The sequence below is a fragment of the Homo sapiens genome, chromosome 10 (assembly GCF_000001405.40).
Source record: "Homo sapiens chromosome 10, GRCh38.p14 Primary Assembly".
Classification (NCBI taxonomy): Eukaryota; Metazoa; Chordata; class Mammalia; order Primates; family Hominidae; genus Homo; species Homo sapiens.
In genome coordinates, this window is record NC_000010.11 from 46,237,730 (window position 1) to 46,265,240 (window position 27,511).

The window sequence follows — 27,511 nt, forward strand, 5'->3', positions numbered from 1 at the left end:
CACACCTATTCTTCTTTACTTCTCAGAGTAAAGCCCTGCAGAAACACTGAGACACAAATAATGGGTGATCAATGCTTTTCCTGGGTTGGGGGCTAAGATGGTCATCTTTCCAGGTGTGAGGAGAGAGGGTGAGGCAAGGTGGGGACACAGCGGGCCACCTCCTCTCCACAACAGGATGAGAGATAAAGGGTAGGTTCCCCTCTCAGTATTCTCCCTGTCAAGCACTAAGAGGAGTCTGGCATGCATTTGCACAGGAGGTTCTTAGATGTGCTGGTGCTCTCCTAGTGTCCCGGACAGCTGATGAGCCAGAACTGTCCACATCCATCCTGATGCTGGAGTGGGCAACTGCCACCAGGTGCAGACCACTGGCAGACAGGCCTGGATTGGATCTGGCTATACAGGCTCACCTTGCCATTCCCTTAGCCTTGCCATAGCATAGCCTAGCATTCTTTATGTCTCCATTTCATTTTATCCTTATTTTTGAGACAAGAAAGATGAAAGTTGGAGAAGCTAAACCACTCTGAGCCATGTTCTTCTATGATTACCCTTGGAAATGCCAAAGGGGTTTCTCACTTCTCCACAGTTAGGCCCAAAACAGATTCCTGTTCATACATGTCATATCTGAAATGTTTCCTTGTGAAGCAGAAAAACAACCAAAAGTATATTCAAAGGACCGTGTCTCACTAGAAATACTCATTCATTCATTCAACAGAGAGCCCTGTATCTGTGAACCCAGATGCAAGACAACAACTACTTGTGGAAAACATACTCCTGTCAACACTGACCTGCAGGGCTGGTGCGTGCCTGTCTTCCACACCCTGCATCCGTGTGACACTGACTATCATCATGAACAGATTGACAAGGACAATATTTGATTTCCTACCTTTGGTTCACCAACTCCAAGCTGCCCCAAAATATTCACACTGGCTGTATCTTCTGCTTGAAAGGAATCCCCCAGATTTTTACTCCACTGACTTCTTATCATTTTTTCTCAGTTTAACTGTCACTCCCTCCCTCTTCCTCTCCTTTTCTCCCAAAAGAGTCTTCTCTGGCCAACCAGGCATTTGTTGACACATTAATGACTTTCAATCCTTTGGACAGTATCTGTCACCATATGACTCTCCCTAAGAAAATGTAAACCTGCCATGAAAGTGAGACATTCTTCATCTGGTTCATTTTGTCATCCCAGCACCTGATGTGGAATACATTTTTGCTGAATTAATGAATATGAATAAATCTGTGAATATTTTCCTTTGAACATTTTTCCTTGTGACAAAGCTGGTCTTGAAATTAAAGAAAAAATAAAAAAATTTCCACTGCTTTTATGCTTATCTAGACCTCTAGAATAAGGATTCATGGATAATGAAATCAAACTTGTATTTATTCTAGTTATTATTAGTAATTATATATGTGTATATATATAATCTCATATATATTTAAATTATTTTGTATATATTTTAGTGTATTATGAAATCAGGCTTTTATTTGAGCTTTTCCCCAATAGCTTGCCAAAGTTTACAAAAACATTTGTGTTAAATCAAACTAAATTTGACCTAAGAAAACCTCTGTAATTGCATACTTGAGTTCTCACACATGAACTGCAACCTAACAAACTGAAACCCTAAATGAGAAGTCTGCTTCTGTAACAATAGCTGAGTCTTAGCCAATCACAGCAGCCATGCTTCAACCACTCATAAGGAGCCAATTGTTCAAACCATGTTCAAATAAGGCAAATGCCAAGGTGTAACTAATCCAGATGTTTGTACTTCACTTTCATTTTCTGTATGTCATTTCTTTTTCTGACCATACATCATATCTGACCATATGGTAGCCACAGACCCTCTCTGAATCTGTTCTGATTCTGATGTTGTCTGAGACACATTTTTTTCTTGATCAGTTAAACTCTGTTACATTTAATTTGTTTAAATTTTTCTTTTGACAGATTTGGTGTCAGAAGATAAGTAAAACTGCAAAAGGCTGGAGAGGCTTCAAGATGGCTGACTAGAGGCATCAAGAACTCACCTCCTCCACAAAGAAAAATAAAAATAGCAAGTAATCACACTTCAAGAAGAACATCTAAGAGTGAACGCTGGAATTCAATAGATAAATGATGGGAAATAACTGAGGCATGAAAATGGAAGAAAGTGAGGCAGCAAGCTTGGCTGGGATTGGCTGGGAACCCAGAGTGGCTCCCTAGTGCAAGAAAAAGGTTAGTGAGAGATCCACAGCGGTTGACATTCTGACCATGGATTTTATAACCATAGCCAAAGGAAAACCCCTCAACCCTCATAGGCCCTGAGACTAGCGTAGGAAGGTGCCTAGAGACCATGTAACAGCACTGCTTCAGAGGGAGCTCATGTGGGTCCCAGTCCCCAGGTCTTAGGCAGCTGTAGCTCTCTGCCATTTGGAGAGCCCAGCCACCACCAGACTGCATCCTGCACTGGAAACCAACAGCCCCTGCATTTCCACATCTCTAGAGTCCCACTGACATCTCCCTGTGTTCACCTGTAGGGCTTCAGTAGTGCAATGCCAGTTGGACCCAGCAGAGCCTCCCTAGCACTCTAGCACACACAGTGTCCTGCATCTTGGGGAATGGACAGTGCAGCACAATAGGGAGGCTGCCTCCCCAGTGTGCTGAGAGGCTGCCCTCAGAGAAAAAGGAGCCAAAGTGTGGGTTTCTTAGAGCTTGAAAACTGTCTACCTGGGGCAGTTATCATGGACAGCAACCCTGTTCCCACCCCAGCAGTAAGGCTGCCATGCACATGCCTTGAGGGCAGGGTCTGCTACTGCTCACTGCATCTGTTGTTGCTGTCACTGGGGCCAAAGCACATGCCACTTGACAGTGACTTTGCCCTTTTTGGGCAGCAGAGCCACGCATACTTGCATCCCCTTTACTACTGGTTTTCCCTGTTGCTGCTGCTACCACTGCTGCTGCCACCCCTCAACAGCTAGGGGCTGAATCTCACACTTCCCAGATCCTGAGAACTCCTGCCTATGGCTGGAGCCACTGTAAGCAACCTGCCTATGGCCCAGCCATTTGCACATACCCTGAGGACAGTTTCCCCTGGCCCACTGCTGCCACTGCCACAGCCACTTGAGCACTCTGCCAGTGGGCCTGGGGACCCCTCCATTTTGCCAACCACAGCCATCACCTGAGTGTTCCATTGAGGGGCCTGAGGATACACCCACCCACCTTGACACTGCTTACCTCAGTGCCCAAGCACACTGCCTGGGGGCCTAGGGATTACCCCCACTCTGTTCACCATTGCTGGCCTCTATGTACTCCTCCTAGGGGCCTGATGATGGACCCACTCAGTCTACCACTACCACCACAGCCAGCATCCATTTGCATGTACCACTTTGGGTTTAGGGAACTGGCCTACCCAGCCATCACTAACACTGATGTGTGTTGCTTCAGAGCCTTAGAGTTGCTGTGTTGTTGCTATTGTCAACACTCACTCCACACATGCTGCCAAGGGAAGGACCTGCCCGCTGGCCAGGCCTACCACTATGACTGCCAGCACCCAAGCCAGCCACATGGAGGCCTAAGAACTGGCCCATTTGTACCTGCTGACACTAGTGCCTGTGTACACTGCCTGGGGTCACAAGGAGAGGTACATTTACCCTGCCACTGCCACCATCAGGGTTTGAGGGCACACCCACCTAACATCCCCAACCGCAGCAAAACATCATCATAGCCTCCACTAACAACCACAGCCTAAGCCACTAGGGAAATCACACACCACTGATACTGCTTAGAGGTGAAGAAATCATAGAGACACTACATTACTTCATACACTTAGAAGCAAAGCTAAAGTGTCCTACCCAATAAAAACCATGGAAATATCTTCAGGAAAAAGCCAATCCAAAATGTATGAAGAAGCAACTGTTACAAAAGATGTGCAGATATCAATGTAAAACGCAAGAAACATGACTAAACAAGGAAATATGACACTTCCAAAAGATTACAATAATTCTTTAGCAACAGATTTCACTGGAAAAAAAATTTATGAAACGTGGGAAAAATAATTTTTAAAAATGATATTATAAAAGCTCAGTAAGACACAAGAGGACATAAACAATACAAAAAGTTAGAAATCAACTGAGGATATGAATGAAAAATTCACCAGAGAAACAGATATAATAGAAAAAAGAATCAAACAGAAATTCTGAAAGTGAAGAATTCAATGAACAAAATAAAAATTTATTCAAGAGCTTCCACAGTAGAGTGGAGCAAAAAGAAGAAAGCATCTCAGAACTTGAAGGCAGACCTTTTGAAATAACCCAGCCAGAGCCCCCGTCCCCATGCCCTACTCACACAAAAGAATAAAAAACAATGAACTAAACTTACAGAACATACGGGACACTATAAAGCAACCAAAAACAGAAATTTGGGGTGTTCCAAATGGTGAAGAGACCCAAGGTATAGAAAACCTGATTAACAAAATAATAGCTGAAAACTTCCCAAATTTAGTAAGAGATTTAACATTCAGATACAAGAAGTTTAGAAATTCACAGGTAATTAAAAACTCAAAAGGTCTTTTCCACAGCACATTATAGTAAACTGTCAAAAGTCAAACAGAGAATTCTAAAAAGAGTAAGAGAAAGGAAAAAGCTCTGGTCACATATATAGGAAGCCCGATCAGAAGAACAGTTAATTTCTCAGCAGTAACCTTATAGGCCAGGAGAGAATGGGATAATACAGGAGAGAATGGGATAATATATTTCCCCCCTAAAAAGGGGGCCAAAAAACCTGTCAGCCAATAATACTATACCTAACAACATTATTCTTTATCTTTAAAAAATGTGAAATAAAGTTTTTTCCACACAAGCAAAACCTGAGGGAATTCATCATCACTAGACCAGCCTTAGAAGAAATACTTAAGGGAGTCCTATGCCTGGAAGTGAATGAATGATAGCTACCGTCATGAAAACATACAAAAGTCTAAAACTTGCTGGTAGAGTAAACACAGAAATAAGAAAAAGAACTCAAATGTTACCACTATAGAAAACCAGCACACCATAATGATAAACTACAAGAGAGAAAGAAAGGAAAAATATACAAAACAATCAGAAAACATTTAACAAAATGACAGAAATAAGTCTTCATATATCAATAATAACCTTGAATGTAAATGGATTAAATTTTCCACTTAAAAGATAAAATCTGGCTGAATGAATTTTGAAAATGCCCCAACTATATGCTGCATACAAGAAACTCACTTCACATGTAAACACATGTAGACTAAAAGGAAAGGAATGAAAAAAGATATATCACACAAATAGAAACCAAAAGTGAGTAGAAGTAGCTATACTTATATCAGATAAAACAGACTTTAAGACAAAAGCATTAAAAAGTGACAAAGAAGGTCATATTATATAATGATAAAGGGATCAATTCAGCAAGAAAATACAACAATTCTAAAGATATATGCACCCAACACCAGAGCCCCCATATACATAATGCAAATATTATTAAATCTAATAGACTTCAATACAGTAATTTTTGGGGACTTCAACAGTTCACTCTCACCATTAGACATGTCATCCACAAAGAAAACCAACAAGGAAAAAATAAATTTAACCTACAGCTTAGAACAAATGGACCTAGGAGACATCTACAGAATATTTCATCCAACAACTGCAGAATACATGTTCTTCTAATCAGCAAATAGAACATTATCCAAGATAGACCATATGTCAGGTCACAAAACAAATCTCAATAAATTTTTAAAATATCAAAATCATACCAAATATCTTCTCAGACCATCATGGAATAAAGCTAGAAATGAATAACAAGAGGAACTTGGAAAATGTACAAGTACATGGAAATTAATCAATGTGATTCTGAACAACCATTGTGTCAATGAGGAAATTAAAAAGGAAATCAAAACATTTGTTGAAGCAAATGAAAATGGAAACACAACATACCCAAACATATGGTATACAGCAAAAGCAATGCCTAAGAGAGAAGTTTGTAGCAATAAAGACCTACGTCAAAGAAGTAGAAACAATTCAAGTAAGCAATCTAATGACGTACTTCAAGGAATTAGAAAAGCAAGAGCAAACCAAACCCAAAATTAGTGTAAGGAAAGAAACAATGAAGATCAGATCAGAGTAAAACTAAATGAAATTGGCTAAAAATACAAAGAATCAATGAAAAGCAAAGTTGGTTTTTTGGAAAGATAAAATGGATAAACTGCTAGATAGGCTACCCAAGAAAAAAAGAGATAAGACCCAAATAAACAAAATCAGAAATGAAAAAGGAGACATAGTAACTAATACTACAGAAATACAAAACACATCAAAAACTATTGTGAACAACTATTTACCAAAAAACTGGAAAACCTATAGAAAATGGATAAATTCCTGGACACTTACAACCTACCAAGATTGAAACTAGAAGAATCAGAAAACGCGAACAGACCAATAATGAGTACAAGATTGAATCAGTAATGTGAAAATTTACCAACAAAGAAAAGCCCAGGACTGTATGGCTTCACTGCCAAATTCTACCAAACTTATGAAGAAGAACTAATGTAAATTCTCCTCAAGTTATTCTAAAAAATAGAAGAGGCCTCATTCTATGAGGCCAGCATTATTCTGATACCAAAACCAAACAAGAACGCACCAAAAAAGGAAAACTACAAGCCAATAACCCTGATGAACATAGACACAAAATATCCTCAACAAAATACTAGCAAATTGAGTGAAACAGCACATCAAAAAGATAATCCCGCCATGATCAAGTGGGATTTACTCTGGGGATGCAAGGATGATTTAACGTACACAAATCAATAAACATGATATATCACATCAACAGAATGAAGGACAAAAACCATATGATCATCTCAACAGATGCAGAAAAAGTATTTGATAAAATAAAAAAAAGCTTTTTGACAAAAACTCTTGACAAATTAGGCATAATAACGGCCTCATATGACAAACTCACAGCTAACATCATATGAAATGGGGAAAAGCTGAAAGCTTTCCCTCTAAGAAGTGGAACAAGGCAGGGATGCCCACTTTCACCACTCCTATTCAAAATAGTACTGGATATCTTAGCCAGAGCAATCAGGCAAGTGAAAGAAATAAAAGGCATCCAAACTGGAAGAGAGGAAGTCAAATTTTCCCTCTTGGCAAATGACATGATTTTATACTTAGAAAAACCTAAAGACTCCACCAAAAAACTTCTAGATCTGACAAACAAATTCAGTAAAGTTGCAGGATACAAAATCAACATAGAGTCTGGGTGCAGTGGCTCACATATGTAATCCCAGCATTTTGGTGGAAGGATTGCTTGAGCCCAGGATTTCGAGACCAGCCTGGACAACATAGTGAGATGCTCATCTTTATTATAATTTAAAAAAATTGTTAAATCAACATACAAAATTCAGTAGCACCAATAATAACAGCTGGAAAAGAAATCAAAAAGGCAATCCCATTAACAATAACTACAAAAGAAATACCTAGAAATAAATTTATCCAAGGAGGTGAAAGATCTCAACAAGGAAAACTATAAAACACTGATGAAAGAAATTGAAGAGGACACAAACAAATGGAAAGACATCCCATTTACACAAACTGGTTGAGTTAATATTGCTAAAGTGATTGTACTACCCAAAGCCATCTGCAGATTCGATGCAATTACTAAAAAAAATACCAATGCCATTTTTCACACACCAACTCCACACAGACAGTGACCTCAGCCGGGAATGGATTTTTTTCTGATCAGCATCGTCATTTCTCACTCAGTGTTCAGATGACGTTGAATGAAATGACGTTATTCAAGGACCTGCTGTGTGACATTTTGCACTGTAGAGAGATGCACTTGCAGGTGTTTCCATAGATCACTCTGACAGCAGGATATGGGGCGGAACCTGACTCAGACATGAGCCTCCCCTCAGGTCAGTTCATAGCCCGGCTCTACCACTCAACAACCCTGCCACGTTGAGCCTATCACTAAACATCAGAGCCTCGGTGTCCACAGCTGCGAAATGTAGACAGTAGTGACTACCTTGCAGGACAGAGAGGTGGCCATGCACACAGTAAGGACCTGGAGCCAGGCTGTTGGATGCTGGTCCTATTGCTTCCTGGCTGTGTGACCCTGGGTAGGTTACCTAACTTTCTAGGGCCTCTAGCTTCCTCCCCACAATAGAGTTATGGCATATATTAGTTTGTGGAATGTAGTTGCAACAGTGTCTGGCCCACCTTAAGATCTATATGAATGGCAGCTATGAGCCTTCCTGGGTGTTGTGAGAATGAAATGAGATCCAGTTTCTAAAGGGCCTCCTGCTGTGGTGCGCACACGAATTAAACTCACTGGAAAGGCTGTTATATCATTGTGGGCACTATATTTGGTGACAGAGAGTAAGGTTTCACACTATTAGCCTGACTTTCCTGATGGATCGAGTAATATTGTTTCCCATTAACATAATGAGCATCCACAGGATAAGGTGAAGGAGAATCCTCAGCATGGATGGGAGGTAGAGTCTGGCTCAAGAGCCTCTGAATCTTGCTGCTTCATTTTGTATGAGTGTGTAGTGGGGATGGCCTGGAAGAGGACACTATCAAAAAATTTATTCAGGGAACTGAAGGTGATGGAGCAGGGAGACACACTCAATTTAAAACAAAAAAAAATTGAAATTAAACAAGACTGACTGCTTTTGCCACAAAAATGCTGAGGTTTTTGGTAAACTGAGCCTTGGAGAATTTCCTGCATTATTATGTGCTGAAATGCAAAATGTTTGGATTTGCTGAAACAATAAACTAAACAAGGTTTTAAAAGGCAGCAGCTCCTCTAAATTCGACAGCACACTCCAGTCGAAGAGGCTCAACTTCCCGAGCTTATCACACCCCCAGGTCAGCCCACAATGCCAAGTCAGGAAGAGGAGTTTGGAAATAGCCTCCTCACAAGGCCGGGCATGGATGGAGAAAGAGGCATGCACTGGTTCTGTCAGGATCCCCCAACCTGCTGAGGGCCTGAGTGAATCCCTGTCTGAGGGGAGATCCTGGAAGAGGGGTGTGCAGCACACAGGTGGCCTCTTCACTCTGCAGTGAAGAGACAGACAGCCTATGCCTGTCCTGGCAGGACGTCTCACTGATGCCTCCACAGCCCTGCAGTTGCAGTTGGGCTGCCTGGCTGGGGCCGAGCCACCCATCCAAGCCTGGTCTCCAGCGGGTTCTCACTGAGATGCACTCTCTCTCCTCCAGCCTCAGGGCTCCTTCTCACTCAGGGAACCCCTGGCTCAGGCAGGAAGGTCACATTCCCAGTGTCTCCAAGCAGAAAGCTGCTGAGCTCACCAGCAGCCTGGCTGGTGTCTGGCTCTGTACACTCATGACTAGGCTTACAGTCTGACCCTGTGGCTCTGAAATGGGCTGAAGGTCTCAGGGGGACGCGTCCTCTTTAGTGTATGATTCACGTTAGACCCTGGGGCCAGCACACCAAAGGCTTAAAGAGGAGAACAGGAATTCCTGTCAGCCTGTCTGAATTCTTGGGTACCCGACAGAAATCCTACAAGACACTCAGTCGGGTGTTCACGACTACAGTTGGGAAGGACAAGGTCAAATTAGATTGTGGCAGAGGAGCTAGAAGGGAGCCCAGGTCTACAAGCCACAGCTATGGGCCTCCCTGGGTTAGGGACAGATCTGGGGTTGATTTCTGATAGCCCTGGAGACAGCCACTTGTGGCCTTGGGCAACTTTCTGGGCCACTCTGGGCCTCTATTTTGCCATTAGTAAAATACAGATTGTCTCTCCTGCTGGAGAATTTCAGGGTGAACTTCACACAGTGACAGCGGAAAGGGCCTGGCAGAGCCCTGGGCAGTGTAATTGCCCTCCTTAATACAATTACTCTGCCACCCTCCCCCAAACTTTAGCTGCTTTTGGGAATGGGACAATTTCAGAGACTTGCTCCATCCCCTATCTCACCACACTGGGCAGTAAGGCCATTTCTGGCCCTTTCCCATGCCCACCCTCCCGTCTCTTGCCTTCCCTCTGCTTGAGGTGCCCGTTTTCACACCCCACAGTCGAGCTCTGTCCCTTCTGACTGAGCCTCTCGCTGTTCAGTGCATAAATCTGGACTAGGCTGTGGACTGGAACTGGGCTGTGGCAACGTGGAGAGGCCTTATGGGACCTCAGATGGAAAGTGGGCTTCTGTGCAAGCGTGGCTGGGATTGAGAGCCCTGTGCAGAGGCACAGAGCCAGGAACCCAGCAGCTGGAGCAGCCCTGCCTGCCTCTGACACCAGCAATGCCCTGCCAGGTGTCAGCACGCCTCCCAGGGCCTCCCGGCCCGTTTCTTATCAGCAGCGTCCAGAGGCTTGCAGCCTGCAAGGCCTTCTCAGTGCGCAGCCACCTGGCCACTGAGAGCGTATGCTGACCTGATGCAGGAGGTCTGGCCAGTGCAGGTCCCTCTATAAACCCTGGGGATGAGATCATCTTCCAGGTGTAAAAGGCTGGACTGTGGGAGGCACAGGGAGATGAGCCCCAGGCCCAGCCAGTAGCAGGGCTCTCCAGGGACCCAGGGCCTGAGCAGAGAAGCCCCTTGGTGCTGATCCGAAAGGAGAGCAGTGCAGAGTAAGGGCAGGAGCCAGGCCCAGGGCACATCCAGCCCTATCACTCGCGGGCTTTAGGAGCAAGGACATGCCACTTAATATCTCAGCGCTTCAGGCCCCTTCAGTAAACTGGATAATAATAGCACGTAGGTACAGTTACTGGGAGGATGAAAACAGTGAAAGCATGGCCTAGGCTAGCAACTGGCCCACAGAGGACTCTGTATATTACTGAGGCCTCGTTAGTAATTATTAGTCCTCATTCATAATAAGTTACAAAGAGAAAATCTTAACAATTTCGTCCTCCCCATGGTCCCAAGGCAATGATACAGGAAGGAATCCTTATTCCCTGTTAGAACCAATGTTGCCCCGACAACGCTGTCAGCCATCCCAACCAGCACTTCTGACCCCAGGGGACCAGCAAAGGAAGCACATAGTCCCAAGTCCAGAAACGGGCTGGGAGGCCCATGGGCACCGTTTCTGTGTGTCTTGTGCCGTCCTCTTTGGCAGACGCCTGACATGGCTCTCTGAGCCACAATCCCAGAGGACAGCAGTCAGGGAAAAAGCAGTGGCCTTCTGTCCATCAAGTGTGTCCCTGTGCCCCAGCTCACCTGGCCCCTGTGCTGACACCACATCCATGGCACCTGGCAGCAGCTTGGGTGAGAGAGGTCACGGAAGATATCCAGATTGCCCTGAAAAGCAACGTGGCCATGATGAAGCCATGCAGCCTGGATGCCTTCTCAGGACCCCCCGGCCCGCCATGGCTCTATCCCAAGGAACACACGCAGACAAAGCTCCCATTTCCCCCTGGGGGAGGGGCCTGGCAGGGTTGCATGTTGGAGACATGGTCACTGTGGCCACAGAGAGTTTTGGAATCTGGACAAAAAAGTATTTTGGTTGTAGGAAGAAGAAAAGCCAGGGGCAGATTCATACAAAAAGTCCAAAGGCGGGAGGAGCCTGTGGTTCCAAGCAGAGGTCCTGAAGGGGAGCATGAGTTAGGCCTGGGGGCCCAGCATGGGGGCCTGGGCAGGGAGAAGGAGCCTTGCTGCTGGGGCACACAAGGGGAAGGCAGGTGAGAGGACCATGCCCTGCTCAGGGAGTAGGTACCTGACACCAGGGAAGAGAGAAGAGGAAGGCAGAGAAAAACAGGCCAGAAAGCAGCCCAGGACCCACGGCGGGCAGCCCCTTGGCCACTCGGCGCTGCAGTCAGGCCTTTCTGGGCTCCGGTGGGGATGGGATGAGGGCCGTGTGTTGCAAGGCAGTGCAGGCCGCTGGCAGGTGACTTCCTCCCCCTGGAGACATGTGCCCCACACTCTGAGGAGAGACAGGCCTGGCTTCCCCAGATGCCCACTGAGGCTGCAGAGGAGCCTGACCCTCCCAGGAGGAAGCAAGAGATCCGACCACAGACAGAGCCAGGACCAAGGGGGAGAGGGGCAGAGCCAGGTAGGAACTCTGGGGTCCTTCTCCCTCAACATCAGCCACCCAGGCGCCCTCTCTACCCCTGTGCAGGGCCCCCTGCTGCTGCCTGGCTGGGTTCCCCTCAGCAAGATGGGCCCTGGACCCGCCCATGAAGGAGGTTTCCTCAGGGAGAGTGGCTGTTGTGTTGGCTCCGGGGCTCAAGCTCCTGCACAGGTGTCTTGTGAGGGCGCTTTCAGGCCTCCACCTCCTCCCCTCCCTGCAGCACCTGTCAGCCCATTACAGCAGGCGACAAGCCCACTCAGTGACAGCTTTTCCTCACTGCCTGAAGATCCTGCTGCCCGGGCTGGCAGGTGCCCCTGGCATCCTTGCAGTGTTCGTGGTGGTGAGAACGTGTGTCAGGACTGGTCATTTCTATTTTTTTTTCTTTCTGATCTGCATGACCTTTTGTGACTCAGGTTGCCTGACCCATGCACCTGCAGGCAGGTGGTCTAAAGCCCAGGGCCATTGCCAGAGCTGAGGCACCCCTGTGGAAACCAGGGACTGGTCAGACATCAGAAGCTGCCACTGTACAGAAACATGGATCCTTCTAGAGAGGGAGTTCAATGTGTGGGGACAGACCTGGTGGTGCAGAGGACAGGAGCCCTCATATATGCCTGCCACTGGGGCACGAGGCTGAGGTGGCCATCTGGTTGCTCTTGGCATCACGTGTCTAAAGTCCAGCCCCTGTAGAGCCTGCCTTCCTCCAGGGCCCAGGTCTCCACAGTGGGACCCATCTGCCCCCTCCTCCCACAGTTCCAGGCTGGGGGTCGCAGCCCCTCTCCACTGTGCTTCTCACCTCTATCCTTCTCATCCAGAACACTCCTTGACACCTACAGCAACAAACAATCACAGTGGGGCAGGTGTTTACAGGAGCCGGGGGCAGAGGCAGTGGAGGCAGAGTTTGTGGTGGTGGAGATGATGGTATCTCCTGCTCTAGCTCCTAAAAAACAATGGTCTGCTGACTTTTCAGACAACTCTTAAGAGCAAGGGTATGGTGTCATTGCCTCAGCCAGCACCGGGCACAGTGCCGGCCACTCCCAGATGTGTGTCTGGGGAATGAAAGGACCAGTAAGAAGCCCACACCACAGGGGACCATCCTTCACGTGAGAAAAAAGCAAACTCCTCCTGGTTTGCAGACATGGCTCTTCCCCTAAATGCTAACAACTTCATCCCGGTCGCCTTGGTTCTCCCAAGGCCAGCCTTGTTGGAGGAGGCCTGCCCTGGGAGCTGTGCAATGGTCCCAGCATTTGCAGGTGACTGTCCGCATCCACCTGGTTGCAGATGCAGCCTCCCTGGGCCCACTCTGCAGCACCTCAGAGGCCACCCTTGGCCAGGGAGGCCTGTTCCCACCCCATCCCAGGCTCAGGGCCTCCTACCTCAGCTACTCACCACTGCCTATGGCCCCTGGTGTGGGTCCCCAGCCCAGGTGAGCCACAGCCTGCTCCCCGACTCCTGGCCCCTGTGTTCACTGGGCTGGTGTCCCTCCCAGCTGGGTGCTCGCCAGGCCTCCTTCACCCCTCAGCCCTGCAGTCCCTAGAAGCTAACCCCAGCCAGACCCTTGTCCCTGCCAGGAAACAGGGATCCAGAGAGGCCAAATGGAGCCACACCTGCATCCGGAGCCTGGGGATGGGGCTAAGCTCTGTCCTCTCCACCCTCTGCTCTGTCCTCTGTCTGCAGCTCTCCGGGCTGGCTTCTTCCACCCCAGCTTCCAGCACCCCTGACACTCTCCCCGCCCCAGCCTCCATCTCTGCTTTTGGCTCCTGCTCTGCCTTACAGGGGGCCCTTCCCACTTCTGTGGGGTGGACATTTCAGCCTCAGCCACAACAAGCCAGGACTGTGAGCTGCCTGTGGGGAGCTTCATTTCTGTCCCTCACCAGCCCAGCATGGGGCCCAGGGGAAGCTGGAGCTCAGTAAAGACAGATGAAGGAATGGGGAAGGCACCAGACATGTGCTGAGATCCATGCTGGTTCCTCAAGGCACAGACAGCTGGGGGTTACAGCACTGTCCTCCATTTGGGCCCTCAGGACCTCATGGGGGCCCCTCTCTTCCTCCCTCCACACAAAGGCTGCCTCCTGGCCCTTGTCCATCTGTGGCTTCCAGAAGTCCGGATTGTTGAGGCAGCCCTGGTTTCAGGGGTTCTGGGGTCACTTCTCTCTAGGAGCCAGGGCAGGCTTCAGCCCCATGTCCAGGACATCCCAGGCCAGCTCTCTGTGGCCAGCCCGGGGCAGGAGGCCCTGCAGAAGCCCAGGTTTGCTAGGCTCTGGGAATGTGTGGACAGGTCTGCGACTCCCCGGGCTCATGTGATGAGCTGGGAGCTGAGGGAAACTTCCCACAGGCGGGATCATGGGGCAGTCACATGTTAGAGTCCCTCAGAGGGTGGGCCTGTGCCTGGGCCCCAGAGCTGGGTGGGCAAAAATCACTTGCCTTCTTGCGGCACAGCCACCAAACACAACACAGCAGCAGTGGCGCAAGCAGCAGGGGCGGCACAAAATAGAGCCAGTTGCAAAAAATGCCCTGGCTGAGAAAGACAGCAATATGAACCACGCCTAAGGGACAGAGGAATGCCAGGCCTGGGAGGGCCTGGGTAGCCTCATCCTGGTGCCCACCACTTGGAGGCCCATCTGCCCATTCTCCCTTCTCTACAGGTGGTCCCACCTCAAGGCACAACAGTGGGGCCGGGGGTAAGGGATGCTTCCAAGGGAACTACAAACCCCTCCTCTGGCCCCGCTGAAAGTCTCTGCCCAAGAGCCCTGCCAAGAAAGTCCCGGAAGCTTCCACTGTCTGACAAACCCACCCTCACTGCACACCTCGCCTGCAGCACAGGGCTTCTGTGAGGACCACAAAATCTCCAGGTACAATGATGGGCAAGGGTGGGGGTGCTGCAGCCAAGAGAGGTGCAGGCGCAGGAGCAAGGACAGGAGACCCGGGTCCATCCCCACAGCCTCTATCCCCAATTCCAGGCTCTGCACCGTGGGCACATCCACACAGAGCTCTGAGCCTCAGCCTCCACACCTCTGCAAAGAGAACGGGCCTCCCTCCCTGGGGGCACTTGTGAGGTTTAGAGAGCTCAGAGAAAGACCTGGCTCAGAACCAGGGCCACATGGGGTGTAAGCAACCAGAACTCTTCTCTGGGTGTTCTTCACAGTAAAGGGAACGTGGGCAGCATCCGTGGGAATACAGGCTGCCCAGGCCTTCCCCAAATCCAGAGTTCTGTTTAGAGAGAAAGATGGGGAAGGCAGGGGAGGGCAGGGAGGGGAGGGGAGGGGAAGGGAAGGCAGGAGAGGGGAAGGGAAGGGAGGGGAGGGGAGGGGAGAAGAAAGGAGGGGAGAGGAGGGGAGGGGGCCTGTGCTGAGAACCTGGCTGGCTGAAGGAGAGGAACCACCGAGGCTGAGCATGAAGGCCGCCGGTGAGGCTGGAGCCCCAGGGCTGCTCCTGATGTGCCTGTCACTGTGGAGCCGTTAGTGGGTGGATTCCTGATGGGGAATGTGTGCGTTCAGCCTGCTAATCCATGCGTGGATATGCAGGGACAGGCAGGGGTAGACCCAGAGGGAGGACTGTCAACACTGGTGCGTCCTCACAAATAAGACTGGACACAAGGTGGTGGAGTGGGCTCAGGCCTCCCGCCTGTCCCTCCAGCACATCCTCCTCCCTATGCGGCCCTGGGCCACGCTGCCCAAAGATGTGGAGCTCTGAAAAGCAGGCACTGGGGGCACAGCACTTCCATTCTCAGGGGCCTCTCGGAGCTGAGCCCGGGTCCCAGTGCCCAGAGCCTCCCCTTCAGCAGCAGGAGGGGACGAAATGCAGGACCTGGTGAGGGAGCAGGGAGGGACATCTCAGGGGCCCGAGCAAGGAGGAGAGGCAGAAAGGAGGTTCAAGGCATCTGGGCAATGACAGCAGGTTACAACCAGGCAGGCTCAGGGGCCAGGGTCATGAGCAGGTTCAGGACCAGATCAGCAGCTGGGGCACCAGTTCAGTGGCACACGCACCCTGATGGCAGTGTGTGGAATCCTCCAGAGCTCCTGGGCCTGGGAGGTCCACGTGGAGAAGGTGGACACCCAAGAGGTACTGGACTCTAAGCTCCTGGCAGACAGCCTCCCAGCTTCAACCACCTGTGCCAGCTGGAAGCCGGGTTGGAGCAGCCTCAGGTGCCTGCTGCACACGCTACTTTCTGGGACTGCCTGGAAACTGTCTGCCCTTTCTGTGCTCCCCAGGGTGTATCTCCTTCTAGTGCAGGGACTCTGGACAGTCCTCATACGTGTTTGCAGCCCCATGCTGGTACTCACACATGTGGTGCTGGTGATGCTGACATTGCTCTTGAATGTTTTGCCGTTGTTCAAGCTGACTTCAATGAAGTACTCCCTAAAGCACAGAAAACACAGACGGTGAGAGCCAGCCCAGAGAGATGCAGTTCTTGACCTTGGCCAGTGGACAGCGTGGGTAATGAGAGGTCATTCCCCAAACGCTTGCAGGTAAACTCAGCAATGATGACCAAAGGGTAAGTGGGTCAGGCAGCGAGGGGCCCTGCATGGGGTCTCATGCCATTGTGACCGTGTCCTAAATGACCAGGGACCACTGCTTGGTGTCACCATCCCAGCTGTTCTGTATTTACAGAGTCTGTTGGCTTAACTCTGAGAAGCAACCTGGAGCAAAGGTACCATTCCTCAGGCAATCATCTCCTGCATCCTGTCCTCCTCACAGACCCTAGGATGCTGCAGATCCCTGAATACCTTGGGGGCGGCCACCAACAATAGAAGGTGGAGAGGGTGCCCTTAACCCAGTGGCAGACACGTGCCGCCCCAGCAGTGGGGGTGGCATCCACATTCTGTACAGCTCACAGTGCCCAACCCTGACCCCCTGGCCTCCTAACCTATAGGGCCTCCTGCCAGGTTTTTCTATCTTTGGTCCAGGGCAAGTTTTGGAAGTCTTGTCCATACTGATTGGATGTTCATCTAAAAGGAAATGACATGGGAAGAATGTCGATGCACTTGTCTGACCAGTGTCTCTCCCCATGTCTGTCCTCAGCATGCAGAGCTGACCCTGAGGCCCAGGACCAGCATCTGGGCTCTGCCTTCCTCTTACAGAGACCCCTGTGAGCACCCACCATACCCAGGCCCTGTGCAATGCTCTGCTGTGTAACAGGAACAGGCAGGCAGAGTCCCTGCTCTCAAGGGACTCACATTTAGAGATTGCATGGGACACAGAAAACAAAATTAAAAAACAAACAAAAAAAAAACCAGGACAGAACAGATGACAGAGAGTGCAACGTGCTGTGATGTCCATGACCAGAGGAGGTGAGGGGACCAGAGGGGCAGGGACAGCCACTTCATTATGTGTGACTTCTCCTATCTTGTAGAGCCACAATTTCTGGTCTAGAGGAACATGAAATAATGCAAGGCCAGGGATTTGCTTCAAAATACTCTGTGGTAAGGGTTCCAAGGAAAGCAGATGGGGGCAGGTTGAGAATTATTGAAAGTAGGTTTATGGCACAATTCTTGTTATTTTGTATACTGTTGAAAACTTCCATGAATAATAAATTCTCTCTGAAAAGGTGACATTTCAGCTGAAATTAAAAAGATGAGGAGCCAGCCAGGCAAAGATCATGTGCCAATGCCCTGGGCAGTGACTCGCTGACCTTGTCAAGGAGGGAAAGAGGTGATCCAGAACAGGGGGCAGGGCCTCGTGGGCCCTGGAAAGGGGTTGGGGTTTTATTTCTTGTGCAGTGAATCTGTCCAGGTTGGGCAGATCCAGGATGTATTTTGCACATGGAGGCAACAGGACTTGCTGGTGGGATGGATGTGAGGAAGAAGCTCAGAGGAGTCAAAGATGACATTTGAGTGTTTGACCAGAATAACCGGGTGGACAGTGACACCATTTACCAAAAGGGGGAAGCCTGAGGAGGTAACTGGGTTTGTTTGTTTTAAGTCTGTAATTTTGTTTCCCAATTTTTATTTCTTTATATATTTATTTATTTATTTTTTGTGGGAGTGTGGTGGGCTCAGGAGAGTTCTGTAACATGTAGACATAGAACCTTCTCATCCTGAGCCCACATCCTTTTCATGCCTCCTGAAGTGTTGGGGAGGGCACGGGCCCTGCTGCATCTGCCTGCTGGCCTGGCTCCAGCTCTCTACCCACTGGGCTTGGCTGCCAGGACCCCGGCTTCCCAGGGCCAGCAACTGCCTGGCCAACCTAGGACTGCCAGAACCCGTGGTATCGACGTTTTCGCCAAGGATGATTTCAAAACAATTATGGCATCTTCCTCATTTTCCTTTGAAAACCTTTCTCTGCTTTTTTTTCACCTCCCTAAATATGCACATAGTTTACTCTGGCATGTGTTTTCCATGCCTTATTCCTGAATAAATAGCACTTCAGTCTCTGTTTGTTATTTTGGTTGATAAAAATCGTATCCAGGCACTTCCCAGAAGCCAGAACTAGGCTCTGCCCCTGCTTCCCCATAGGGACATATGCAGGACAGAGGGAAGTCTCTCCCTGACCTGCACCTCCGGTCTGGCATCAGCCACCAGGGAAGGCACGCTGCCATCTAGTGGGGGGTGCAGGGGAGACGTGTTCAGTGGTGGCCAACACTCCAGGGACATGTTCCGGGGATATCTTCCTAATAGTGAAAATAGGTTTAAAGGTTGTTCTCAATTATTTTAAAAAATAAGCTTCCTTTTACTCCTGGATAAGCCATCAACCAGGAGCAGAATGGCCATCTACGCAGGTGCTCACAGCTGTGGCATGGGCTCCCCACTGTGAGACGTCGGTGCTGGCCTGTGTATGGAGAGGTAGATGGTAACCTCCAGGGTGGGAAGCCAGTACACCCACAGGCCCACAGAGGAAGCAGCTGAATGCCCTTCACGGAGGTAGGCTGGGTACCCCCTTTCCCAGGAGCTGCCACCACAGGGAGGCAGAAGGCCCTGGTAGGGCAGGAAGATTGCCTGGGTCTGCTTTCCTGCCCTGCAACATGAACTGTATGGCCCTGGGCAGGCTCTTCCATCATGCTTCTCTCTAGTTCTCCATCCATACGGGAAAGTTGTCAGAACTAAAATGGAGTCATTTGTGTTAAAAAAATAAAATAAAGTCCATGACAGTTAGGGCTAAGAAAGGCTACAAAGAGAGGGTTTTATGCCTATATGCCTGATAACAAAAATATCACAAAAGACTTTGCAAAAACCACAACCTTGCACAAAAGCCATTGCAGACTTAACACAAAAAAATACTTCTACAGGAACATGTGCCCAAGAACTGCCTGTCCAGCCTTGGACTAGTGTCACCCTTGTAACTGATCTTTTTAGGCAAGAGTAATGGTCTCAAAACAATTCCCTAATCTTCATTTCTCCTTTAAAAGCCTTTGTCTTCTTTACCTCCCTGATTATGCACATTACTATGGCACACATATTCCCAGTGCCGGGCACCGTTCCTGAATAAATACTGTTTTCTTTTAGAGAGAAACTCTCTGTCGTTCAGGTTGACATAAATGGTGTCCAGAAGTAGGACCTGGAGTAGGACCACTACTTGAAGAAATCAGCCACTCTTGGAATTGGTGTGCAGTCCTCACTTGAGCCCTTGGAGCTCCCTGTTTCTGTGACTTGCTTTCTCTGCCCTGGAGAGTCTTCTCTCAGGCTGAGCCTCCTACTTTTGGGTGGAAGCTCTTGACTTCATTCAGCATCTGATTTGGATAAGGCCACCGTAAGCCAAAGAGCTTACATCCCTCCTGAAATGATAACAATTTTTTGTCTTTTCCAGTAATTCTTTCTGGTATAATGACAAATGTTTTTCTGATTTGAGCACCCTAGTTTCTACATAATTTACATTTGTTTGTGAGGCATGTCTTTTCTGGCAAATTCACTTTTAGTTCTGCATGCCTAATTAAATATTTGTTTGATCTGTATACCCGGGTTAAAATATCTGTGAACAATGACATTGGTTTGGTTCCATGTGTCTGTAAGTCATATGGAACCAAAAAAGCCCACACAGCCAAAGCAAGACTAAGCAAAAAGAACAAATCTGGAGGCATCACATTACCCAACTTCAAACTATTCACATGGCTATAGTCACCAAAATAGCATGGTACTGTTATAAAAACAGGCACATAGACCAATGGAACAGAATAGAGAATCCAGAAATAAACACAAATACTTACAGCCAACTGATCTTTGACAAAGCAAACGAAAGCATAAAGTGGAGAAAGGACACCCTATTCAACAAATGGTGCTGGGATAATTGGCAAGCCACCATGTAGAAGAATAAAACTGGTTCCTCATCTCTCAACTTATACAAAAATCAATTCAAGATGAATCAAAGACTTAAATCTAAGACCTGAGACTATAAAAATTCTAGAAGATAACATCAGAAAAACTCTTCTAGACACTGGCTTAGGCAGACACTTCATGACCAAGAACCCAAAAGCAAATGCAACAAAAACAAAAATATTTGTGGGGGGGTAAATTGATGAAAAAAATTTTGCATGTAATTGACTTGGTAATAATCAGAATAAAATTATTTATAAGTCTTCATAAAGATTGAGCTCTGATATTAAAAATACAGTAATACTAAACTAAAAAATTGGTCTCCTATATTAGAACACCAAAGTTTTCTTGAAATATTGATTTGCTATTAGTAAAATTGCAAGAGGTTTTGATTTTTAATTCTGACTGCTGTTTTCTTTAACAGCCATCTTCTAAACTGCAGGCAGTTTCTATTCCTGGCACATTTTTTCCTGAGATCCATTTAATTTCCCCAGTTTCAGATAAGGAATGCAATCTTTTTCATGAAGAATGGTAATTTTATTCATTAAGGTATAAAATTTATTTATTTATTAAATAGAAAGTAATTTTATTTATCATAAGGTAAATAAATAAATGGTATTTATTTAATAAGGTATTTATTTTCCTCAGGTTCTTATTTCAGAAGTTCAATTTCTGCTGCATCCCACTGCACATGGTCTGCAGGCCATACACCATAGCCTGTAGCGCTCCTACTCCCTTCCTCCGAAAAGTTACAGCTTTTTGGTTGGCTGAGGTGATAACTCTCTTCTCCAACTTTTTCATCAGCTGCTCCAACTTTTTTCCTCCAGTTCTAACTTGGCTTTTATGGCCTGGCACTATAATGTTTATCTTGAAGGCCAAGAAAAGCAATGTTTTCCGCCAATATAACTAGATTATGTACTCTTGGCTTTTCTTGATATGTCTGAATTGTTCCATGTTACCAAGAAACTTCACGTGGTTTTACTTTATCTAAGAGCTCTACATTCCTCTGCTCAAGGTACTAGTCTTCTTGTTTATACTCTCCTATAATATGAGTGTACATTCATAACACTTGGATATGTTCTTTTATCTCTAATTGAATTTAAGGACCCTTTCATCAGGTTCAATTCCAAGACTGAACAGGCTTCCCATGAGAAGAAGCAATTACATTGCAGGAGATTTTTTTTACCTTTTGGTAACTGACCTAAAAGACAAACAATTTATATATTTATATTTTACCAAGATAATTTTCTGTGTTGTCTTTATCAAATTTTTGATTACTTAAGAAAACTGAGCTTTGAACAGGTTAAGGTTTTAAAATATTTGTAACTTTCTGTATTGCTTTTGAAGTTTCCTGATAATCACTCGAGTTAAATGAATGGCTATTATTTAACAGTGACCTGTGATTCTATTTTGATCTATGGCTTTGAATCTCTTGATATTTTTGGTGGGCTTCTCCTGGATCAAAATTCTAAATTAAGTCCTTTTGAACTACAATTAATTTTGAGATTTTCCAGTTGGGCCCTTGGAGAATATGCAAGAAGATATATTTTAATTTATAGAGGTATTAAATGATTAGGCTTATTTGGTAAATTATATGACAAGCATTGTCAAATGAGAAGTGAGGCTACATCTTCTTTTAGTCACATTTATGGGTAGGTTATTGATAGGAATGTTCTAAAAATTATATGACAAAATCTAATATATTATAAGTCATAATTTTGGTTGTTATGTTAAAACTTCTTTAAAGTTGTATTTATTTGGCTGTGTTATTGATGTGAGTATTCTAAAGATTATAGGAAATTTATAAGTCTGATACTTGTGATATGATGCTGTCAGTCATGATTATGGTTAATATCTTAAATTCCTGCAGGTAATGGAAACAACTAAATTTTCTTGTCGATTGTGAACTTTTATCAGATTTTTAACCATGGCTATTCTAAGTTTTTTGGATTCTACTCAAAAAGCATTTGTAGTCAGTTGTTGTCCAAGTTCTTGTTATCTGTCTATAGAGTAGACCACATCCCGAATTCTTCTATGTTCCACCAATCCAGCCTTCTTCCATGGAATTACTATAAATGGAAAACTGTTCTGTTCCAAAAGCCCTATAAGCTGAAACTAGATGAATTTTAAGAAAGCAGCCTTGTGCCTGATGTATGGGCCACATAAAAAGTTTACAGTGGCTCACGCCTGTAATCCCAGCACTTTGGGAGGCCAAGGCGGGTGAATCACGAGGTCAGGAGATCGAAACCATCCTGGCTAACATGGTGAAACCCTGTCTCTACTAAAAAATACAAAAAAAATTAGCCAGGTGTGGTGGCACGCACCTGTAGTCCCAGCTACTCAGGAGGCTGAGGCAGGAGAATGGCGTGAACCTGGTCGTGCCACTGCACTCCAGCCTGGGCGACAGAGCTAGACTCTGTCTCAAAAAAATAAAATAAAATAAAATAAAAAATAAAGTTTACCAAACCATTTGATGCCATGACCAGAGACAAACTGCAAATCAGGATGAGAAGTTGACCTTTGCACACTATAGACAGCTTTTTTCAAGACATTGGAAAAGACTCCATAGTATAATGAGACTCCTACACTCCTTAAGGTTACCTTTCTAACTTGGCAAGATAATGGAGTAATTGAAATTTCACAATTACTACCTTCTGCTTGTAAGTTGACAGAATCTGACCTAAGAGATCCTTTGGTATACATTGACTAAATAAGAAAATGTCTGTACTATTGCTAATACTGCATGCCATCCCTGGATAAATTCCTCTTGGAAAGTCAATACCAATATACACAAAGTAAGAAAACAGGCCACATGGTTAAAACAGATCTCACCTAATTCCTTATGATCATTTGATTTATTCAGTGGGTTACTGATGTGGTTTGGCTGTGTCCCTACCCAAATCTCATCTTGAATTGTAGCTCCCATAATTCCCACTTGTTATAGGAGAGATCCGGTGGGGGATAATTGAATCATGGGGGCGGATTCCTCCATGCTGCTCTGGTGGTAGTGAATAAGTCTTAGGAGATCTGATGGTTTTATATGGGGTTTCTCCTTTGGCTTGGCTCTCATTCTCTCTTGCCTACCACCATGTAAGATGTCTCTTGCTCTTCCAGCATGATTGTGAGTCCTCCCCGGCCAAGCGGAACTATGAGTCAATTAAACCTCCTTCCTTTGTAACTTACCCAGTCTCAAGTACGTCTTTATTAGCAGCATGAGAACAAACTAATACAGTTGCCTTTAAGCCTAGGTTCATGGATAAAAACTATTATGCAAATTGTATTTTCCATTTTTAAACTTTTTATATGTTACTTGTTAAATTTTTGCAGAAGTACAACTTGTAACCATAATGCTAGCCCATCACTTTGAGATAACAGCAAGACTATGGAACTCACAAAATTGAACTTAATAATGGACTCAAGATAGACTTAGCCCGAGAGTCACTCCTTTCAAACATCCTTTAAAGGTCAACTGTGACTAAAAGGGATTGACACTTACTCCAAGTTGCCAATTGCTCCCTCCAAAATGGACCAAGACCTGCAACCAGGACAGGCCCATCCCATTATCCAGGGACAGTCAAAACCTAATTACAGAATGATTGATTAGTGAGGTGTTTGCAGAAAGATCTTGATCAAAAGGGAGAAATTGTGAAAGTTCTCAGAATCAAAATGGAGTTAACATGTTAAAAAAACAACAAAAAAATCCTGGCAAGCTGAATTGGGGAAGTTTATGAAGAGAAGATTCACATGCTTGTATACCTGATAACAAAAACTATCACAAATCTCTACCAAACTACAACCTTTGCAAAGACCATTGCAACCTTACTCAAAAATACTTCTGCAAGGACATCTGACCCGCAATTGCCCATGCAACCTCACATTGGGGTCACCTCTATTATTATTGATCTTAGTAGCCAAGAAGAACTAACTCAAACAATTATGTAATCCTTCTCACATCTCCTGTAAAATCTAACCTTCCTGAATATGCATGTAGTTTACTATGGCATGCGTATTCCCACTGTGATGCCCTATTCTCAGATGAACATCATTTTCTTGTAAAGAGCCCTTGTCTGTTTGTTATTTAGGTTGACACATACAAAAGAATTTCTGTAAGTCGGCTTTGAGGATTCAGGGAGATAGTGTGCATAAGGCACTTGGCACAAAATCTGATTTAAGTGCTCAATAAGCATTAGCTTTCCTTAGAAAGGGGCTGCTCAGTCCCTAAGACACTCCCGAGAAGGTATAACCCAATGAAAACCAAATTCCCTGAGACCATCCACACAATGCTGATGAGTGGGAATGTGGGGATGACAGGCTCAGCCCCTTCCTATGTACCCACAGAAAGGAGGAAAATGGCCAAGAAGCCTCTTGGAGGAAGAGAAGTCATCCTGGGATTACCATATGGCCCTGGAATTAGATTTCAGTGAACATACTATCATCAGATCAAATGAATGTATCAAGGGGCCACCTGGGAAGATCAAGGAGGATCCAAAAATCCAACTGCACCCCAGGCCCTCAGTGGGGAAGAGCACACCCTACCCCCAGCACCCAGGGCACAGTGTCTGCCTGGACTATGCGCTTCCTCAGGCCATTCCACCATCACAGAGGTCTCCTGATGCCTAATTATTGCCAAATAATAGGGGACTTTCAAACAAATGCTATAGCCTTTCCATGAACCAACTGCTCTACACATGTGATTTTGCTTAGTTAGGTACAACTGTGGCTGACCATCTATAATATGAAAATCCACACCCAAAATGCTTCAAAATCTGACACTTCTTGAGCACCAACATGATGTTTGAAAGAAATGCTCATTAGAGAATTTCAGATTTCAAATTTTAGGATTAGGGATGCTGAAACATAAGCATAATGCACACATTCCAAAACCTGAAAAAAATCTAAAAACTAAAATATTTGTGGTCCCAAGCATTTCAGTTACAGAATACACAACCAGCACCATATTAGCTCCATGTTAAATTGAGAAAATAGAGGCTCAGAGTAGAACACTCATCTGGTCAAGGTGACACAGGCAATGTGTGCCTGAGCCAGGATTCCAGGGCCCAGGCCTACAGGCTGGCATCCTCCCTCAGTGCAAGGTAAACATACCCCTCTGGGCAAGCTACTGGTGCACCTGGCCAGCCAGACTCAGACCTCCGGGGTTGCCAACATTTCCCAGGAGCAGCCTTGTGGGCTTTGGGTCCTGGGCTCTCAAGGGAAGGGGAAACTGAGGCTAAGGTGGGCAGATGCAGCTGTGATCACAGACCCAGTCCTAAACCCAGCCTCACTGAGGGGGAAGCCCTCGTCTAAGATGCTCTTGAGGCACAGGTGGATTTTTTACTTCCCCACTTGGCAGATGAAGGGAGGGGTGGCCGGCCTTCCCAGTGCCTCCTTCCACTTGTCTTCATGGCCTCTAACCCCACAGGGTCCACAGGGAATGGTTGGCAAGGGCTGGGAGGCTTGGCTGGCTGTGGGAAAAGGCAGCATTGTGTGGGAAATACGTGACTCAGAGGCACCGAGGAGACAACTTACCAATGATAGTGCTTTCACTGAAGATAAATCTGCAAATAACTTCATCCCGTTTCTTTAGATTCTGAAAGCCATTTCCATGAATAACCACATGGTAGGATTCTGCAAGGACAGCATTCAAAAGGTTGAATGTGGAAGAGTGGAGGGCTGCCTCTCCTCTGACCTCCCTGTTCCTGGAGATCCTCCCCCAAAACTCAACTTGCAGATACTCCTGTAAGGAAGGAGCAGTGTCTGACCAACATCTATGTGTCCACTGGGTCAAATCTTCATCTGGTGTCACTGAGGGTCCAGGGGGAGGCAGCTGGGCCTTGAGCACACTCAAGGACCCTCTCCCTACCATCCCTGAACCAACACGCTCAGGAAAGGCCTTGGTCCTTGCACAGGGCAGGCTCAGAGTACTATTCCTGCCCTGAAATCTGTGGTGCTCCCTCAGGCCCCAGGGGTACAGGCGGTGCACTCAGCCAGGCCCTCCCTGATGTAAGGTGTAAGTGGAGCCACAAGGCTGCCTGAAGACACCATGTCTCATGCCTCAGCTGGGCACCCAGGCCTTGATGCCTCCTTCAGGGCTGCTGAACACTCGGGGTCTCTCCTCCCTGTCTTTCTGTGTGCCTGTGGCAGGCAGGACACCCACAGGGGCAGGGGCAGGGCCAGGACTCGGGTAGGACAGGTGAGGCACCTACGACCCTGCTCAGGGCAATCCATCACAGAAGTCCTGTTTTAGCTGCGATTCCAGAGACCTACAGGTAACTCCTCATCTCCTGCTCTTCCTGATCCAGCAAGGACCACAGGGCACCCACCCTGAGGCTCAGGGAGTGTGTCCTTCCACCACTGTGGCTCCTGCCCTGAGACAAACACCACAGGGGACACAGGGCAGGTGGGGCTGGCCTCAGGAGTCAGCAGACCGCAGGTCTGCAGCTGCCAAGGGCATTGGCCTCCACCCCTGCCTCCTGGCCCAGGCCCCACGCATTCCAATCCCTGCTGATGCCTGGGGTGCCCCCAGTCCATGCACCCGAGGAAAGCTTCCTCTGAACCCTGCTTCCTGCTTTCCTGCAGCGTCACACCTTCAAGGCAGGCTGTCGGTGAAGCTGGCCTGCTGACATACTTTCTGAGGCTTTCAAGTATTTTCAAAAATGGGGGCTCACAGTTGAAAGCCTGAACATTTCCCCTAAATATCCAGATTTCTAGCTTTCTTAGGAAATGGGAAATGCAGGCCTCAGTGGGTTTGTGTTTCTCCGTGTCAGCTCCTGGCTGGGACCTAGGGAACCATGCTCCTCAGATGAGGAGCTCCCAGGCCTGCCTCACTTCAAGGCCCCACACACTGACTGCTGACATCAGCCGGCTGGGCCTGGCCTGCTCCTCCTGCTCAAGGTGCCAGCCCAGCCCTTGTGGGCACCCACTTGATGGATACTATGCTGTCCTCAGAAAACCCTGGGCCTGGTGGGGGCACTGAGGCTGTGAGAGAGCAGGAAAGGCCAGCTTGGTGCCCTGTGCTGAGCAACCAGACCTGGCCCCACTCAGGGTAAGCATTGGGTGCTCTCCTACCGCTAAGGCAGACAACAGCTGCTTCCAAATCTGATGCTATCAGGCAGCATTCTCAACATCTTCCTTGCTCAGGTGTCCAAAGGGCCCTGGCCAGTCGGACCTGAGCTCAGTGTGCCCGGGAGGGAGCAACTGGGCCTGTGGCCTGCGCCCCTTGGTCAGCCCAACTCGGCCACCCTGAGCAGGACTGAGGGC

At 47.1% G+C, this 27,511-nt stretch overlaps 1 pseudogene across 2 annotated transcripts in view, besides 4 other annotated features; it reads right to left on the reverse strand.

Moving 5' to 3' along the window:
• Positions 1-27,511, reverse strand: part of ANTXRLP1 (ANTXR like pseudogene 1) — a 50,584-nt pseudogene that overhangs the window by 18,705 nt on the left and 4,368 nt on the right. Inside the window, exons 2-4 of one of the 2 annotated variants that reach the window (NR_103827.1) lie at positions 25,781-25,879; positions 16,292-16,367; positions 11,162-11,242 (exon numbers count right to left, since the gene is read on the reverse strand). The product of NR_103827.1 is annotated as an ANTXR like pseudogene 1, transcript variant 1 (transcript). The remainder of the gene's footprint in view (positions 1-11,161; positions 11,243-16,291; positions 16,368-25,780; positions 25,880-27,511) is intronic. The other variant, NR_103828.1, reaches the window with a different exon arrangement.
• Positions 1,779-1,878: an enhancer, noted in NCBI's record as "active region_3325". NCBI's record gives its function as "activates an Ori minimal core promoter by ATAC-STARR-seq in GM12878 lymphoblastoid cells {active_cell/tissue: GM12878}" and the evidence as "EXISTENCE:reporter gene assay evidence [ECO:0000049][PMID:35858748]".
• Positions 11,714-12,213: an enhancer, noted in NCBI's record as "H3K4me1 hESC enhancer chr10:47620679-47621178 (GRCh37/hg19 assembly coordinates)". NCBI's record gives its function as "activates a minimal SCP1, AML or CMV promoter by ChIP-STARR-seq in naive H9 embryonic stem cells {active_cell/tissue: H9 hESC(naive)}" and the evidence as "EXISTENCE:reporter gene assay evidence [ECO:0000049][PMID:30033119]".
• Positions 13,422-13,922: an enhancer, noted in NCBI's record as "H3K4me1 hESC enhancer chr10:47622387-47622887 (GRCh37/hg19 assembly coordinates)". NCBI's record gives its function as "activates a minimal SCP1, AML or CMV promoter by ChIP-STARR-seq in primed H9 embryonic stem cells {active_cell/tissue: H9 hESC(primed)}" and the evidence as "EXISTENCE:reporter gene assay evidence [ECO:0000049][PMID:30033119]".
• Positions 13,998-14,499: an enhancer, noted in NCBI's record as "H3K4me1 hESC enhancer chr10:47622963-47623464 (GRCh37/hg19 assembly coordinates)". NCBI's record gives its function as "activates a minimal SCP1, AML or CMV promoter by ChIP-STARR-seq in primed H9 embryonic stem cells {active_cell/tissue: H9 hESC(primed)}" and the evidence as "EXISTENCE:reporter gene assay evidence [ECO:0000049][PMID:30033119]".